Genomic DNA, 19,874 nt, shown 5'->3' on the forward strand with positions numbered 1-19,874 from the left:
ATTATATATTTATATTTATATTAAATTTATATTATTTAGACAATTGGACCTTGAAATGCAGGTGGTAAATTATAAAGTCAAAAAAGGTTTTCCATCATGCCAAAAAAAATCCATTTAAAACATTTGTTTCCTGTTTTATATATATACACCAATTAAAATTATTTTGAACACCAAGTGTTTAAGCAAAACTATATAAAAGCAGATAAAATGGTCTCTGACTTATCCTACTTTTGTCTTTAAGCTGTTATATTAGCTTAAACTGTATATCATGTTACTTAAAAAAAATCGAAAATCTGTGTAGATCTGAAATATATTTTTTACCATTTTAAAGGTTTAAGTTTTTCTTGTTAAATGGCTGGCTGAGCCTGGTTATAAAGCAGGACAATATAAGGTACAGCTATTGCCATGAGAACTCTAAACCAGTATATGAGCTCAGTTTTAATCATTTTAATTTTTCCTTTTTATTTTTCCTTTTTATTTCATATTTTTCACTGAAATTGGAAATTCTTTTCTGTCTTTATAGTATCTTATCCAAGACTCAAGGAAGAGCTTAAAGTTGTAAATTAGAGAAAGTTTGGCTTTTGCTATCTCTGAGTTATTTCTTTGTCCTCTGCTCTATTCCCTGTCAACACCTCTCCTTTCCTCCGCTGTTTTCACACATATAAACACAGTCACAGATTCAACTCAGGTCTAATGCCAGTAAATTACATCTTTGCACAAATTGAAGTCACTAGTTTTCCTTTTCTTAAGAATCCATGTATTTTAAACTGTCTGTGATAATAGAAGAGCCCTTGTATATCCTTTGAAAAACATTTCATACATCGGATGGGAGAGGGGCTTTGGGGAACAAGAGCTGCTTTCTAGCACCTCTCAAATCACGTCGTTTGGTGGAAACTTTTCAGTCAACAGATGAGAGCATCTTGGCTTTGAAGTTTAGACAAAGCAAGAGAGGGACTCAGGCCACTCACTTGCATAAATACTTTTATTTGTATTCAACTGTGTTTCAACTGACTTTCTAACCTTTTAGAAAATAGCATTTTGGATTCTTTGCACCACACAGTAGCTCCGTGTGAAATTTATATTAATTTAAAAAGAAATTCCCTCTGGCTTTACATGACTGAACATTTGATTAAAATTAGAGAAACAGAGTTACTAGGCAAGTCATTCTAGCTCCGTATGGAACATCTGCTGAAGTAAGCCTTCAGAAGTCAGACAGAATTGAAATGTCATCCTCTGGGGGAAATATATATAACACAAAATTAAATGATGAACATGAATGGGAGAGTTCATAAGGTGTGGACTGTGTGTAAGCTGATTAGTTACTGGCTTAAATGTTGGGGCTTCAGGAAACAGTAAAAGAGGGGTTTGTGGATTTGTTTCTTGTTTGTATTATTAGCCTCATAGAGTGTAGTACTGTAGTACTGCACCCAAATCTAGGTGCAGTAAAATTGCAGGTAACATAAAGGTTTTAAAAAAACAATGGTTCACTATAATTCAATTTTAAAATATATTTAAATGTTAAAATATTATATACATTTAAAAACTCAAAAGAGTAAAAAATTATTATATTAAGAAAACATCAGTACACAAGCCAAAATTTTTAGAATTCAGGAAAAAAAGTGATTTGGCTTAATGTAACATTAAAGAACTAAGGCTTTTAAGGAAGTTGTAGTTAGAGATATTGGGAAATTAAAACATATGAAATGTTCTTGCTAAATTTTTAACATCTATTAAAGACATAACTGACAGTGACAATTTCACCAAAAATTATCTCCAAAGAGATATGTTACTATATTACTTAGCCAACTAAGCTAAAATTTTTTTCAGAGTTAAACAAGTGGCATATTAAACCCACTGAAACAATAAGATGAATAATTGTTGGTACTTTCTTGCTTTGACAAAAAAATATTACTGATATCATTTTGGGCTGATGCAGTATTTACATCAACCAACGTTCTTTATAGCTGAATAAATAATAGGTAGACGATAAGTCAAATCAATATTATTGATTATTTCTTCCTCTATTATGATTAATTAGCCAATTGCCATCAGCATAATAAAGTTTTATGTTAATATTTTATTGCTCATTTCTCAAAATAACCATGGGTATTAAGTTTTATATATTCAAAATTATTTAAATAATAGATTTGGCAATTGTTTGACATGCTTTACTACTGTAATATTCTTATTGAACAAAATGGTTCAGTCCACTTAAATATTGTCTATAGAATCAAAATTCTAATGCTTGGTACTTGAGAGTGAAATAGAAAAGTAGAACATGAAAGACTGAGGTGCAGTATAGCAAAGTGGTATTAAAGAGAAATGAATTTTGAAGAATTTATGTTTCATCTGTGCTGCATTGGTACCATTTGTTGAAATTCATACAGCTTGTTACTTTCAGCAAGAAATATAGCATAAGATTTAAGAGATTATAAAAATGTTAGCAACTCATTGGTTAATAGAAATATGTTTTCATAAATGGCTACATCAGAAAGATTTTATTTCAAATGTATGCTTTAATAAAATATACTCATACATATTCATGTGGAAATTATGTGTATGACTCACAGGACTTCTCAGTGATTTGTGAAAGAATTAAAATTAGCCTGTGGGAGAGGGCAGGTGTCTCTTCTGTTGCTGCTCCGTAGAAAACCATGGTACTCAAATGATTAGGTAAAATTTAGTTACCACGTTTAGTCCTTAAGGATTAAACTTTAGGACTCTGATGTTATTTACTAGTATTAATGTTCCACTAACATTTTAGAATACATTTCTTAATCTAGGTTAGGTTAATTGGGGTCCAGGAAAAGAATAGGAAAATTAAAACTTCAGTCTATGCACTATTGAAGTGGAGTCAAAATGTTGTATTAAGGTTAGGGGATAGTTTTGAAAAGGAAATGTGTATTAAGAAAACAATATAGAGAATTAAGCCTATCCATGTAAGATCATTGAAGGAAAACACCCCAAAGAATCAGAGGCAGAATAATGTTGAAGCCATAGTTCTAGCCCACATGAGTAATACACTGTGCTCGTGCACTACTCTGGGTATTGGAATTTGAAATTGAGGTTAGATAGGAGATTGGCTCTCCAAGAGCTCGTAGAATAAAGAAATGGAAAAGCATTAAAGAATTGCAAAGTACTGTATATGAGTTTGTGTTTTGGCTTCTAAATAATATTGAAAGGTGAAGATTTCTTTAGCATAGAACATTCTACAAAATAACTTGTGTAGTTATTAGGGATCAGATGTAATAAGCAATTATAATTAAGATATATCTCACATTATTTCTATCAGTTTGAGTTAAAGTATAGTTCACTTAGAACTTGTAACTGTGTTATAAAGTGTTGCTCTTTATTTTTATAAAATAGAAAGCAGATACAGTCTGGAAAACAAAGTTATTAACTTTTGACTTGGTTGATTCTCTAATGTAGTTAATGAGCCAATAAATTTATGTATATGTTAGAGAAGGTTCTAAAATAAGTTTTTTTGTAGACTTACTCAAAATCAGTGAGCATGCCTTAATAAGCAGTTATTTGAATAGATATAAAACAAACAAAATAAAATGTAAAAATTGACAATTTTGTCATTTACCCAAGCTGTTTAGCAGTATGAGTTAAATGTTTTATGTTTTACAATATTTCTATTTATTTTAGTGCAAAATGACTCATTGCCATTAAGTTTTTGTGGCAAAATAATACATTATAATAATGTATTCTTATATAAAATTTTATCTGGTTGCAAGCATGTCTTCTTTTCTCAACTAAGGATTTTTGGAGAATATACCACTCAATCTAAATCACTGTTTTAGGTACTGTATTTGAAATTGGCGAAATCTTTACCTTATCATTCATAAGGTTATTATTCATATGCATGCCAAGCTAAGTTTTATTTGGAGTTTAAAATAAGATACAAAATATATAAGCTTATGGTAATGCTGCCCGTTTAGATACTGCCTGATAATGCAGTACATGTGTCCACATTTGTATACTGGAAAAGTTATCATCCTGAGACATGTTAGTGGAGCGAAATGAGAACCAAGGTTGTACCACTCTCCTTATGTAGCAAAGCCAACTGGTAAAAGAGCATGCAACTAAAGGATTTATTGCATGTATTGACATGATTGGAGTCAACAAGAATACCATATTTGTGGTACCCAAAATACTCTCAAATATTTGGGTTAGATTTACATGTTTACATATTTATACAAAACGATAACTAAATTTTTCTTCCCTATTTTTCTCCCTTTACCTTGTGCCCCATATGTCTCTTAGGACTGACCTGCCTAAAACCATATGAAGCCTGTACTTCTGATTCTTTGTAATATAATATAATATGGAGAATTAGATGCTTTGTGTTACAAGTCACTAGTGATTTTGTTTTAAATGGACCTGATTTTACTCTCTTTTCAAAAGATGCCATTCTGGATTTTGTGACCATTTTTGTCAAAATGAACTTTTGTTTTGTTCTTTATCTCCTGGCTTTTCTATTTATTGCGACCTAATTCATTCTTTTTTATTTCATATTTACTTTGACTTGCTTCCTGTTTTTTATTCTATGAGCAGGTAAAAAGCTCAGAGGAGTTTGTGCCTTTTCTTAATATTATGTGGGTTTTCTCCTCTACATCTTACCTTACTCCCCATTTTCATGGACTTAACTTTACCCTTTGTTACAAACTATTCTAGATATTTTCCCCCTCCAATGATGTATACTTATTTGTTGCTGCATAACAAATTTTCCCTAAAATGATCAAGTTAAAACAACAATAAATGGGTATCTCACAGAATTTCCATGGATCAGGAATTTGGGAACAGCTTAGCTGGGTGTTCTGGTAATTTCAGCTGGTAATCTCTCATGAGTTCCAGGCAAGATGTTAGCAAAGGCTTGACTGAAGCTGCAGGATTCACCTACAATTAGCTTACTCATGTTCCTGGCAAATTAGTGCTGGTTATTGACAGGAGGCTTCAGTTCCTTTATATGTGTTTCTCTTCAGAGGGCTGTTTGAGTTACTCATCATACAGCAGCTCATTTCCTTCAAAGTAAATGAACCAAAAGAGAGTAAGAGAGAAAGTGCAACGTCTTCTATTACCTAGCCTTCAAAAGTCAAACTATTAGTTATCCAGGTCAGCCTTATTCTATGTAGGAGAGAACCACACAGTGTGAATATGAGTAGGCAAGAATCATTCAGGGACATCTTGGAGGCTAGTCACCACAAGTTTATGCAACAGATGACTTCCCATCTCAATTCTAATCATTCGAAATTTCTCAGTTGGATAATTTTTATTAAACACTCACCATCATTTACATATCTAAATTTATCACCCTATGAAACCAGTCCATGTTTGCCTTTTATTATCTTGCTTGACTGAAACTTCATATTAGACTCACAGAACTTTAGATGCTCAATGCACAGCTTTTTTTTACAGACAAGAGGGGAAACTCACATGTGCATACCCTGTAGCACAATTTTTGTTACCTTTTCCTGTCAGTGTCAATATCAACTTGTTCCGATTATTTTCCTTGTTGCTGCTCAGCTTCTCTTTTCTTGGACACTACCTTTTTATCTAGGCTGTCCTAGATAAAAGTTATTTTATCTAGGTTATTTCTAACGTTATCTTCAACTAAAGTTAAGACTTAAAGAGAAAAAATAAAAAGAATTGCTTATTTATTTTTAAAAAGTACTGTCAGCAGTCTATGACATGGGACTGAATTTACCGTGGAAAATGTTGACTATAGGAGGATACCGAAGCATGAGTATAGCTTTTGCCCTTTTACTATGCAGAATATTTCCCAAGCATTGGATTCCTCAATCCTTATATTTTGGCCTTAAACTGATGATTATTTAACAGAAGAAAACCATTTTTCTTGGAACGGTTTTGCACAGTTAGAAATATAATGTGTTCTCCTTCTCCCCCTAAGCTTTAAACAGTACTCACTGATAGATACAGAATGTCAGGCCAGATTAACTACTGATTTTTTAGGCTTAATAGCTCTTTTATTTTCATGGTAATTATCATTGGTTGGACATTAGTGTAGATAATGTACACATGAAGTTTCAAACTAACTATAGGGCCAAATTAGCTTCTGTGTCCCTCTAAGTGAGAGAGAACAAAAAAAGTCAAATGAAAAATATATGAATATAATAGCCTATAGAACCCCATGACCTTTATTAAAGGACCTGAAATTTTATAGGAGGTACTTTATGGGTGATTGGATGCAGTCTTCTAAATAAAACATGATGTAGAAAATTGATATAAAAAAACATGACACTAGATATAGAGGGAGAGATCTATTAGAAGAAAAAATGTATTAAAATTGAAAGGTATATGTTTGATTAAGAGAAGCAGAAACAAAACATTTAAAAATATGAAATTAAAATGAAATGAGATGATGAACATTTGTTAATAGCCCTGGGTGCGGCAGTGCAACCTGTAATCTCAGAGCTTTGAGAGGCCAAGGTGGGAGGCTCTCTTGAAGACCAGTCAGGGTAATGTATTGAGGCTTAATCTCTATAAAAAATAAAGAAAATTAGCCAGGAGTGGTGGTACATGCCTGTAGTCCCAGCTATGGGAGGATCACTTGAACCTAGAAGGTCAAGGCTACAGTGAGCTATGATTATACCACTGCACTCTGGGCTAGGTAATAGACCAAGACCCTGTTTCAAAAAAAAGCTTATTAATAAAATATGGAAACAAGTTATAAAATGCCAATAGCATGACTACCTAAAACAAATGCTTAAAACACTTGCAAAGCACCTTGCATATAGAGGACAACAATTATTTATTGAATGAATAAATTAATACCTAAACTGTTCTACCCTAAGATGCACTTGAAATCACCATTTCTGGGAACCCTTGAAAATAATAAATGAATAAATGCTCAATTTGTTGAATTTCTACAATGTATCTTCAAATATGCTAGATATATTACATGCATTATCCCTACAGTAATCATATCAGGTAATGTTTTTTACTCCATTTGACAGATGCACAAACTGAGGTTCAGAGATTGAATGTAACTTGCTCAATATTACACAAATAAGAAATGAAAAAGGATTTCAGCCTAGTCTGGCTGACTCCAAAGCCTAAGCTCTTAACATTTCTGCTACGTGCACCTCTACATTCAAGAAGAAAGAAAATATAATAGTTAAATTTAAACTTAAAGCTCATAGACAATATTCACTAACTTGTAAGACATTTCATGAGCATGAAATACAGAAGCAAATAATCTATGGTCTTGAATGGTACCAGAGTCAGGCTGAAACAGATGATTATATTTTCAAGTAAATGAGTTATGATTTGACAAAAGGAAACCCTAGGATGGCTTGGAAGCACAGAGTAAGGCCACCTATCCCTGTCTCGGTAGGTTTTTTGGGTATGAATTCTGAGCTAAACATTAAACAGTGTATAAGAGTGAAATCAGTGAAGTCAGAAGTGGGTTTTAAGAGGAGGGAGTAAGCTTTGTAAGGTTTATTGCAGTCAGGGTGCAGGGAAGAAGCCCAGATATAGGCTAGGGGAGATAATAGACCAAAAGGGGTCTCGTTGCTGAATTAGGGTTTTTTTTCCCCTGAGGCAGTGATAAGCTACTGAAGGATTTTACACAGGAGTCATGTTTTCTTTTGAGAATGACTCTTCTGTCTATAGTGCCATAAATGAAGATAGAACACTACTGCAACATTCTAGGCAGTGTAGCATGATGATACCTAGACCCGTGGTATCCGAAGTATGGGGTATATATTCCTGGGATACGTAAGAGCGGCTAATGGGCCAGACAACAAAAGAAACATTAGAACTTCTATTTATTTTTATTTTATTTCAACCATGTTTTTAGTTTTGCATATTTTTATAACATATAAATGTATACACATATAATAATGTTTTGAAATAAAATGTTTGGAGTACACTGTTTTAAAGGAGATGGTCAAATATAAGTAATGTGTTAGATTTTTGTAGGATTTTGTAGGATTTTATTAAGAGTTAGATAAACGGATGTAAGGTAGTGGGTAATACAGGTAAGAGAGAATATACAACAAGAGAAACATAAAATGAGTAATTTAATTTTATGATGAATTCGTGGTACTATATTTTAAGTAAAAATGCTTAAAAGATGGATCAATCTACTGGCACTAAAGCAAAATGATATATTAGCTAGTGCCATAAGTTTTGGAGTCAATGTGATATAGAGGTCGATTGAAACCATGTAAGTGAATGAAATCAGCAAAGAAGTCTAGGGAAGGTGAATAAAAATGATAACCTGGCCCAGAACCCCAGGAACACTGACACTTAGAATGAGCACTGGAAAGGCAGAGGAGGAGAATGAAATAGAAGGGCCACAGAGGAAGAATGAAAACTGAGGCAGAGAGTGGTTTAATGGAAACTGAAGAGTATTGATGTTGAACAAATATTGATGTACAATTCTGCTGAGAGGCTAAGTAGGAGAAGAGCTAAAATATATTTTGTGTTTAGAACATATAGTGATTGGCAACCTTTCTTTTCAAGAAGCAGCTTCAGTGACATTGTGGGAATGAACAACATCATGGGAATTCTAAGGGTGGAATAGTGAATGACAAGTGAGGAAGTGAGGATTAGGAATGATTTCAACAATTTTGGCTGTGAATGTGGATGAGAAGCCTGGAGTAGGATGAACTATTTAAAATATTAAAATAGGGAAGAAACTTACACGTTTAAATGATGCTGATGAAAAATCACTGACAGTAGCAAAGCAGAGGATACAGGGATCTGTGATTTCTTTCCTGTCTTTATCAATATCTATCTTGTTCCTTATCACAGCTCTGAACAAAGGAACTGAGAGGCTAAGTTTTCCCAAAACACAGTCGTAATCATTTGTGAATTGAACTTACAGGGAGGAATAGAATGAGCAGTACTTTCAGTACCCCATGACGATAAGAGTGAAAAACAACCAGAAATACATAGAGGCAAAGAGATCAAAATAGGCCTGCATTTTTTAAAAAAGAAACTATCCCGCAATGGATTCCTACAGAGGCTCCCAGTTCTCTTCCCCAAGGGTAGCATCCGCTTCTTGCGAAATCAGCTAATTTTAATGAGTAGAACTGAAGATGCTGAACATTGTCTTATCCATTAAATGTGACTTGGGCATGGGGTGGAATTTGGGGCACTGCTACCTCAGGTTGGGTTAGGAGTTTGAGAGTGGTAGGAGCTGACAACAGGAAAATAACTGCTATTGATCAGAAAATCTTACCTCTAGCCCATTTTGCATATTTCCTAATTTATTGAGGACTTGATGACATATTTTCCTTTTGTCTTATCCCATTTTACTCTGAGAAATAGATTTAATAGAATTTTCTAAAATTATCCTATTTTTTTTATATGCTGCCTCTTTTTCTGAATCTAGGTTTAATTCCTTAACATTTTCCATTGCCTTATTCATGTTTTTTTGTTTGTTTGTTTTTGGTACAGCATTTGTAACACCTTAGCCAACTAATCAGTTCATAGTACTATTTTTCCTAGCTAGTATGTGAACATTACATGAGAAGATGTCATAGTCAGTTGTACTATCCTTGGGCATAGCATATATTCTGACAACTCTTCTAAGCATAATATTTTGAAATGAGTGAGTGAATGAATGAATAATGCATCATGGGAACAATTTTCCTGTTTCTCTAAAATAGGTACTTTTTATGGATTATTTTTATAGATATAATGTAATTTAAATCCAAAATACAACTGAAGTCCCATTCATGCCAATAAGAAAGAGTAAAAAGCAATCAGAAACACATAAAGGTGAAGAGGTCAAAACAGGCCTGTACATAAAAAAAAGAAACTATCTAATTTTATAAGTCCCATTGTATTTGAGACTTAAACTTTGAGGACATTATGCTTTGAATTCTCACAAGCATATATGTTAGTGATAATCAGCTCCATTTTATGGGTGAGAAAACTAAGGCTAGAGAGATTAAGTAAATTGCTCAAAATTTCTCAACCAATAAGTAGCAGAGTTAGGACTGAATAAGAGATGTAAAAGATGACAATATGGCAGTTTTTGTTTTCTGGACCCTGATGTATAAGTTTTCAGCTCTTATTTGCTAATATTTTTGTGGCACCTTGTTTCCAAAGATGGTTACTATCCATAACTTCCCCTCCCATGAGGGGTGGAATATGTTTCTCCACCCCCTTGAACCAGGACTGACTTTTGCCTGTTTTGATCAAGAGAATACAGCAGAAGTAAAGCTGCTCCAGTTCCAGACCTCCTGTTAAGAGGACTAGCAGTTTCTGCCTCCTATCTCGGAGCTCTGAGCTGTCATGTAAAAATTCCAGGCTGGAGAGAGAGGCTACGTGGAAGTGTAGGTGTGTGAGTGAAGAAGTTATCTTGGATGACCATCCCAATTGAGGCTTCTGATGACTTCAGTCCCAGCCTCTATAGGATAAAACTGCTTGAGAGACCCCCCAAAGAGAACACCCAGGTTAACCTAATCAACCTGTAGAATCCTGAGAGATAATAACAAATTGTGCTTGTAAACCATTAAATTTTGGGGTAATTTGTTACGTAGCCATAGGTAACCGAAACAGTGTATTTTATCAAATTCAAGTTTAAATTGAAATTAGAAATCACAGTGTTCCTGGCTTATTATTATCTGATTAAATCTGTTAAGATCCTGTGACTATCACTGGCAGAATAAACCTTTTCTGGATGACCAAGGAAAAGATAGTCTTAGAATCTGTCTAGGACATAAAAGGGGAGATGTGCATCCTTTGAACATAAAAGAAAATGTAGTGAAAAGTTGCAATGTCACCATTACTAATACCATTCAAAAAGCTAATAGTGTTATTTAGTGCTGACTTACATTCATGACTATTTTACTACCTGTCACTACATTTATTCATAAAACTATATTTTATTTATAATTTTAGTTATAATCATTTATTAATTTGCCCTAACTTATTATTCAGCATTATCCAGTAGCTGATATACTTGACTTCAGAAATGTGTGACATTAGCCCAAATATGCATTTCCTGTCAGTGACCAAATTTGGCCTCATTTTATATTTGTACATGCTGCTAATTGCTCTTTAACTATTGAATCTTACTCATTAAAGGTTATTTTATGTTTCAAAAAAGCTCTATAAAGCTTTTCTAAAAATAAAGGTACTAATTGAGTGTTTTTAGATTGAACCCTATGAAATTCCCAATATTTGACCATTTTTGTCCTACAAAAATTGGTATTTCATAATACCATGTTGCAACTACCTTTTTATTGAAGCTTTATAATAACCTTGTAAGCCAAGGCAGTAGAAGATGGTGTATACACATTTTTACTGAGAAGGAGAGTAGGCTAGATGTTAAGTGACTTAGACTTTGTCTCACAGCTAGAAAGTAGGAGTTGGAATTTGGATTTATGACTGCTAACACTGAGTCTACTAATTCACACTTTTTCTTCTACAGTAATTATTAATAAACATCACTTATTCTCTGATTATAATACAAGCTTATCTTCAGGTGGCTGACTACATTTAATATTTCAAGGTCAATATGGTAAATTAATCTGTTATCGCTGAAAGTGGGTCAGATATAGAGAAGAAAACAATATAATGATGTGGAAATAAATAGCAGGAGCTGGTTTTTCAGTGATTCAACATGTCCTATAATGTTTTTCTACCCACATACCTCTATAAGTATGATTCCTTGTTAGATCTAAGTGTTTTCAATAAGACAAAGTATGCACAAACTTTCAAGAAAGGAGAAATGAGGAAAAAGATAGACAAAATTGGTTAGAAGAGCTCAACAGAATTTGTCAATTCTAAATTAAATTGAGAAGAGAAAAACCTAACACAAATTTAGAAGGCAAGGTCTATAATATACAGGGAGGATATTTTTAATTTAACCTTCATATAGTGATTATTGTCACATGGCCTTTCCACCTGTAGCTCTGATCCTAATTGGCAAGGTATGCCAACCATGCCAAAAGGAGTTAAAGAAAACCACCAGTTCAGTTCAAAAGTCAAGACATGGTCTCTAGCTGTCACTGGAAGATTCCCTATAGGAACTGCTGTTATAGGAAGCTTCTGCAAGAGCTGTAATGTGACTATACATTATCATTTTATTTTAAATAATGTTGAAAGCCTGTGTCAAATGGCAAAAGGTGAAGAGAAATACTTGTCATTGGAGAAATAATAGTAATAATTGTTAAAATTAATAGTGCCTTCTTAATTTAGGAGATTTATTCTTTTAGCATGTTATAGCTCTCAAATGTAGCAGCCTAATTCAGGAACTATCCAGTCGATGCTGGTGTGGGTTTATCATATTACTTACTAAATACTTATATGTGTCCCTATTTGTCAATGGCTGATTTATTCGGCTCATTTGTGGCCATTCTGCTCCAATTACTGTCCCTGTTTAAGATTAGCCCACAGTGTCAAACCTGGTTCTTTCTCCTGAAGTCACATTTCCAAGTCACATTTACACAGCTCAAGCTTCCAGTTATTCTTCTTCCTAGAGTGGACTCATTTCCATTTGTCTCTGCAGTGAGTACTTCCAGAACTGGCAAGAATCAGAGAAAAATAATCGACTTTTGATATATCACTTGCTCAGAGTTATTTAACCATAAAAACTCTTGTGATAATAAAACCCTTACCTCTGTTTTGACCCATTCACCCCCATCTCCATTCTCTGCTTTATTTTTCTCCATAGTACTAATCATTTCTTAATCTCCAGTCTAATTTACTCATTTTTGCCAGTTGTTGTTTTTTTTTTAATTTTCCAGAATTCTCTAGAATGATAGTTAAATGAGGGTAGATACCTTTATTTATTCACTACTTTATTGTCGGTGTCTGACACATAGAATGTGCATAATAAATGTTTTTTAAATCAATAATGAGCTAACATGGAGATCTGCTTCTTCATCTGTATATTTTTGATAATGAAAGTATAGACATCTCTTATTAGCCAAAACTTTTTCATTCCTAAAAAGAGTGATAGCAAATTTCCAGATAGCAGGAGCCTATATTTCATTATTTTTAATGGAAAAAAACATAATAAGTTCTAAGCACATCCCAAAATGCCAACCAAGTGTTATTAAAACATTTAAAAATATCAAAGTCATAATCCACAAATGATTTCTGGATAGCATAAAACAGTCAGAATATAGCATACCTAATTATTTAACAAGTAATAAAGTGAAGTTACTTTACTGGTATGTTTGTGTGCAGTATACAATATTATTGTGAGTTCCTTTCACACTGCAAAGGGCAAGTACTCCAATGCAAATAAAAAATAAAATAATATGATAAATATAGAAAAGTGTCTAACTAAATTGAAACTTGTTAATAGTGCCCTCAGGCATCTGACATAGCAAACAGGAATCTGTTATAGTATAAACTTCAAAGTAAAGTGTGGAGAACATAATAGTAATAATATGTAAAAAGTTTAAACAACTTTAATATACATCATAATCTTATCAGGAGAACAGCAGAGATAAAACCGCAATATGATCGATGTTTTCTTACAAGGAGGAATGCCCAATTTAGATGTCTTTGCCAATATGCACATGCAATTTTGCTTAGGGACCTTTGGACTTTGATAGTGAAGTTTTGGTCAAAAAAATTTTCAAGTCATTTTAGTGAATGAATAGTGAAATTTTTGAATAGCAAGAGCTAATTGTATATTATCTCAAAGGGTTTTTGAGCATTAAATGGGATATTCTCTGTAAAGGACTTGACCCTATTACTCATTGTATAGTAATGAATGTTATGTCTGAAAGTAGTAAAAAAATAGATATGATTGTTGTCACTAAATTCACTATCAATTAATGATATGCCTATTTTTGCTTGTGAACATTCTCTGTCCCCTACTCATCAGTGACTTTTTCTAACTCAGTAATCTTACAATTTGCCAATTTTGGGAAAATGAAATAAAAGAGAGGCCCTAAAACAATCACATAGAAATGTCATTCTAATCAGCTGTGAGCAAGTAATCGGCTATCCTGTAGCTGCAATGATAACTGTTATTCTTTCCAGCTGCTCTTAATAGGACTCTTATATCGATTTGTCTGGTGTCCAAAATAATTTTCCAAAAGTGTTACCCTAAGGCCTGGGAACCAGTTAGGTTGTTAGCATCTAGTTTTAACATTTTGGGAAGGACTGATATTCTGCTTTGCCTACCTTAAGTCCATCCACATTATTTGAGATTCCTGGTCTCAAATAGGTTTATGTATCCAATATTGCACTTATGAAATTATATATTTATTTTGAAATTAAATAAATACTGTGTATGAAATATGGCTGGAAAGCTGATGCTGGTTTTATGGATTCTGTTAGTGCCACTGTGGAACTACCTTGCATAGCTAGCTTGGTTGATAATGACCAACAACAACAACAAAAAGGTAGAGTAAAATATGAGTCTCCCATGCTACCTGATAGTAAAATTTTATTTTTCTTTTAGAAAACATTATCTACAAGTAAACTAGAAAAATAAGTTTCTGGTTAAATAGCTAAATGGTTTACTTCCCTTTGCATGGAAAATGTCTGTAGTAGTCTACATAATTTAGTAAAGGGGTACCTTATTAAGCTAAAAAGTTAACTGAAAGAGATACCTGTTAGTCTCATCCTCTACATTACCAATGACTTAAAAAAATACTATTCACCCACAACAGTATCACTAATTAAAACCAGAATTTGTATTCATATTACCATTTTAGCTTCATATGCACAGCTTTAATTTAGTTTCTGTTTCTTTTTAAAATTCTCCTGTGCAATTTGGAGTTCAAGAATATATATTTTGAGTTTACAGGTTAAATAAACAGCATTTGCTCTAGTTCTGGTAAACAAGCTTGAATGCAATTTGGAAGAGAAGTAGATGCTAACCAATAAAGAGCTAACATGCAAACATACTGAGTAGATTAGGGAAATACAAGTTTCTCCTATGAAAAAACTAATTGCTTTTTATTGACAGTGGATTAATTAATATGCATATGACTTAACTATATCTTATTCACTCATTTAACAAATATTCATTTAATACTTTTACAGTTTCAAACACTTTACTAGCACAAATTAATTTGCATAATAACAAGAAGAAATACACAAAAAATTATAAGGAAAAATCAAAGACTAAGATTAATATACGCTACTATTCAATGGACTTATGGACTAGAAACTGGGAAATTCTCCATGATTCCAAAGACAGGTGGAAGACCACAGAAGTCTTTTTTCATGTAAGCAATATATCTTCAGTCTTATTTAACAGAGACAGTAAAAATCACGGAGAATACATAGAAAAAGTCTAAGAATTAAAGAGGAAAATGAAAAAAAGAGTGAAAATCAGTAAAAAAGAAATAAAGGATGCAAAAGAGATGTACAACAAAGCAAACAAAGTTGATGTTTCATAAAAACACTAATAGAAAAGACAAACCTGTGTTGTGATTGATTAAAACAGGAATTAAAGAAGATACAGATAAGTATTGTGAATAAAAGGAAGGCATACACACAATAGCGATTACAATGATAAGACAAACACTATAAAAATATAGCAATAATTTTGAAAATTTTAAAAATATATTAATGTCTAGAAAACTGCAATTATGAGAATTGACTCATGATGAAATAAAAACATCAATAGTTCTATGTCTGTCAAAGCAATGGAAGCACTTGTTAAAAATATTATTCCTCAAATAAAATACCAGGCCATGATGATTTTACAAGCTATATCAAATAAGAAAGAAACCATACCAATTTTCTTTCTTTTTTTTTGTGGTAAGAATGTTTAACATGAGATCTTGTATTATTTTCCTGATTTTGTTTAGTTCTCTCTCTGTATTCTTTGTAACTCACTAAGCTTCTTTAAGGTGATTATTTTGAGTTATTTGTCAGACAATTCATAAATTGGCATTTCTTTAGGGTCAGTTATTAAATATTTAGTTTTATTATTTGTTCTTTTAATTCTGTTGTTTTCCTGATTCTTCACGTTTATTGTAGTTTGCATTGGTGTCTGGTCATGTAAAGAAACAGCCACCTCTCCCAATCTTTACAGATTGACTTTGGCAAGAAAATATTTTCCTCAGTCTGCCCATCTAGAGATTCTGGGATCCTCTCAAACCTTCTCTATGGATGTATTATCTCTGGAGTTATATGTACCACGAGCCAAGACATTGGAGGCATGTTCCACTCCTCTCCCTTCCTTTCTTGTGGAGAAGGCTTGTGTTCTGTGCCTCTCCCAATCTTTCTGAGCCATGCTAGGCATATCAGGTACTCTGCCCCTTTTTCTTTGCTATTAGCTGCCACTACCGCCCCCACCCCCAAACCCCTGCCAAACTGTGAAAGTTCCACCAGTGCTCCAGGTAAAATGAAACAGAAACTAGCCCTCAGGAGCACACTGAAAGCAGGGACATTAGAAGAACCCTCCACTTCTCTTGCTCCTAAGAGAGCAGCTTCCATTTCTGCACCTCCTTTTAATCTTGCAGAGCTTTGACAGCCACAGGAAGCTTCCCATCATTTTTCTTTATTCTTAACTGCTCCCAGGCATCTGAACTATACTTGTTCAATCAGCACTTCATCCCAATTTTTTATCAAATTTTCTAAACAACAGAAAAACAGAAAAGTTATTTGCCCCATTCTCCAATTCATTTACCAAAATCAAAATTATTAGGAGAAAAAAATTACATATACATTTTAATCATACATATATAACAAAATCCACAAAGAAAATATTAACATTATTCAATGTGTATGAAAAAAAGATACACTCCAATTATGTTAGGTATATTTTACGTGTAAAGGAACAGTTTTGTTTTACAAAATACATAAATGTAATTCATGTTAACATATAAAAAAGAAAAATCATATGATCGACTCAGTTGATGCAGAAAAAACATTTGATTAAAAAATTAACCATAATTCACAAAAATCCTTATTAGAAAATTAGTGTTAGACGATAACTTTGTTTTCCTGAAAAATTGATTCTATTTTTTAAGTTACACTTTTTATACTAATTGGGAAAAAACAAAAGAGTTGGAAATATGGAAATACGCAAAAAAGTCACATAATCACCACTTCCATTCTATTTTATAGTGGAAGTTCTAGGAAAACATGACAAATTTTTACAATAGATGGTTGAGGAAGAATACTATATTGCTATACATGCCATATTCAGTTATATAGAATATCTTAAAAAACTAGAACAAATTATTAGACATGATAAGGATATTTATCCAAGTAACTATAAGATTCATGTATTAGAGAAAATCATATTAAATTTGCTATTATGTGATCCTTTAGACATATAAAAATGGTATATGTTATGGTTCAACCTAATACAAAGCCTGTTGAATTTCTAAATACCAAAAGCAAACAATAAGAAACATGTTTTGTCTGTGACATTATTTATAGTATTAATAAATAATATCAAGTATCTATAAGTAAAGCTGACCGAAAAGTATAAAATTCTGTTGTTTGATAGTAAGGATGCCTAAATAAGTAAGAATTTATGTCATGGTTATAAATAAGAAGGATTCATGCTATAAAGTTATCAATTTTCCCAATTGATCTATAGACTCAATAAAATCCCAATTAAAGGTTGTGAGAAAAATTAACGCAAATCTAATTACAGGGCCTTACAAGAAACTTTATTAGATGATTCTAAAATTTCTGTGGTAGAATAAGTAAACAGACTAGAAGAGCCAGGATATTTCTAAATAACTACAAGGAGCAAGAAATTATCCTACCAAGTTTCAGGATTTATAAAATTTTTGATTAAAATACTGTGGTACTAATCCATAAATTAAAAAAAATTTGTAACCAATGCAGTAGAATTAGGTAAGTGGAATACACCTATGCCTTTATGAATATTGATATATGACAGAAGTAACATTCTAGATCATAGGTGAAAGTAGAACTGATCAATACATGGACTAGAAAATTGGCTGTCTATATTTTAAAAGGTTACATTGAACTCCTACCTCAAACCACACACAAAAGTAAATTCTAGATGGATTAAATACTTAAATTTCAAAAACAATGATTAAAAATAAAGGTAGATATTTTTAAAATCTTGGGGTAGGAAATATTTTCTTAAAATCCAAAAAAAACACATAAAGAAAATATTGATAAATATTACAACGTTAAAAGTAAGAATATTTGTTCGTCAGGACATAATTTTTATAAGTGACAAGATTATATAAATTAGAAGAGGATATTCTTGTTACATATGACCAGCAACATATTAGTATCAAGAATAGCAAAGAACTTCTACCAACCAATAAACAAAGCACAAACAACTCAATAAAAAAATAAGCAAAATATATGCAAAAACATTTTACTGAAGAGGAAATACATGCAGCCAATAAATATATGAAGAGGTGTTCAATATCCTTAGTGATCAAGGAAATGCAAAACAAGACAGTATCGATGTTAATTTTTACACTTATTTTATTGGCAATGTTAAAGGCAATATCAAGAGATATTCTTGGCAATATCAAGAGATATTCTTGGCAATATCAAGAGATGTGTGTTCACCAGCTGTCTTATACCTTGTTGGTGGGAGGTTTAAATGGTGCAACAAATTTTGCAAATGGTTTGGTATTATCCTTTAAAGTTTAATAATCACAAACTGTATGACACAAAAGAATCTATAGGCATGTATTCAATAGGAAATGTACAATAGGAAACTGTGCCAGAATGCTCATAGTCACACATTTCACAGGAGGAAGAATCTGGAAGTAGTCCAGAGGCCCAGCAAATGGAGACAGGATGGGTGAGCTATTCACCTAGTTTTCTGGTATCATGCCAGACAGGGTGTGAAATATTCAAAGGTTGACAGACAATGATCTTGCTCTCCAGGACTTGTAATTTTTACAGAAATATAAATATTAGTAGAAAAAGTCCAAAGTGATGAAATTCAAATTATCTAATTTTGATGTTCTGATTTTCATAAGCCATATTATTTTATATTAAGTAAAATCATATTGAAACTTACGGCCTTAGTGTCATCACCTAGAATACCTAGAATGTATCACCTGGAATAGTGCCCTGGCACATAGTAGGTGTCCAGTAAACATTTGTTAGATGAATAAATATTTATCAAATTACTAAAATTATGCATATTTAGAATACTAAATTTAAGTAGCATTTTAAAATATAAAGTATTAAAATACTGAAAAATGAAAATGTTTGCCCAAAACTCTCTTTGGAGATGGTATTGACATGGACAGTCAGGAAAAATGGCATATAGGAAGCAGGACTAACATGCAGCTCCCACTCAGACAGACGGAGCAGCATTAGAAGACTCACATCATAAACTTTTGCTGCAAGAACAACTGCAGGGACATACCAGGAAAGCTACGATAATCCACAGACCCTTAGAAGGAAGTGGCTTGCTGCAACAGGCTCTGTGAGATGGCTGAAAAACTGTGGGTACTCAAAGTGTGAGAGGGGGAATGTCCATCCCTGAACACACATCCTTACCGGGGAACCTGAAGGTCCAGATCACGAGGAAAGGATTTGACCTTACCTATATAAAATATAGGGGTAGAGGCAGCAGCATCAAGAGCCCTGTGGACATTCTTTGTTCCAGGAATCCATTCCTGACTTTTTCTTGCAGGGGTCCTTGGGGAGGAAACCGCGGCAGGTGGGGAGGCATAAACCTGAAAGCCCTCCTTGCATTGTCAGTGGGGAGGCTTATAGCCTGAGGAAAGGTGTCAGCTCTGCTCACCAGCTGCCTGGAAACAAACTCGGTGCTGTTGAGGGGAGACATAGTGGGAGTGAGACTGACCTTTTGGGCTGCCTGCGAGCTGGGTGAGACCTGTCATTGCTGGCTTTCCCTCACTTCCCTGGCAACTTGTATGATGCAGCAGAGGCAGTCATAATCCCCCCTGGGAACATACCTCCATCAGCCTGAGAACCACACCCAGTCC

The 19,874-nt window shown here is 33.2% G+C and overlaps 1 long non-coding RNA gene across 1 annotated transcript in view; it reads right to left on the reverse strand.

Annotated features, from left to right (window-relative positions):
* Positions 1-19,568, reverse strand: part of LINC02540 (long intergenic non-protein coding RNA 2540) — a 71,176-nt gene extending 51,608 nt beyond the window's left edge. The window contains exons 1-2 of the long non-coding RNA NR_149101.1: positions 19,472-19,568; positions 12,393-12,511 (exon numbers count right to left, since the gene is read on the reverse strand). This is a non-coding gene — a long non-coding RNA (long intergenic non-protein coding RNA 2540). The remainder of the gene's footprint in view (positions 1-12,392; positions 12,512-19,471) is intronic.
* Positions 19,569-19,874: the final 306 nt, after the last annotated feature.

This window comes from Homo sapiens, chromosome 6 (assembly GCF_000001405.40).
Source record: "Homo sapiens chromosome 6, GRCh38.p14 Primary Assembly".
NCBI classification, from domain to species: Eukaryota; Metazoa; Chordata; class Mammalia; order Primates; family Hominidae; genus Homo; species Homo sapiens.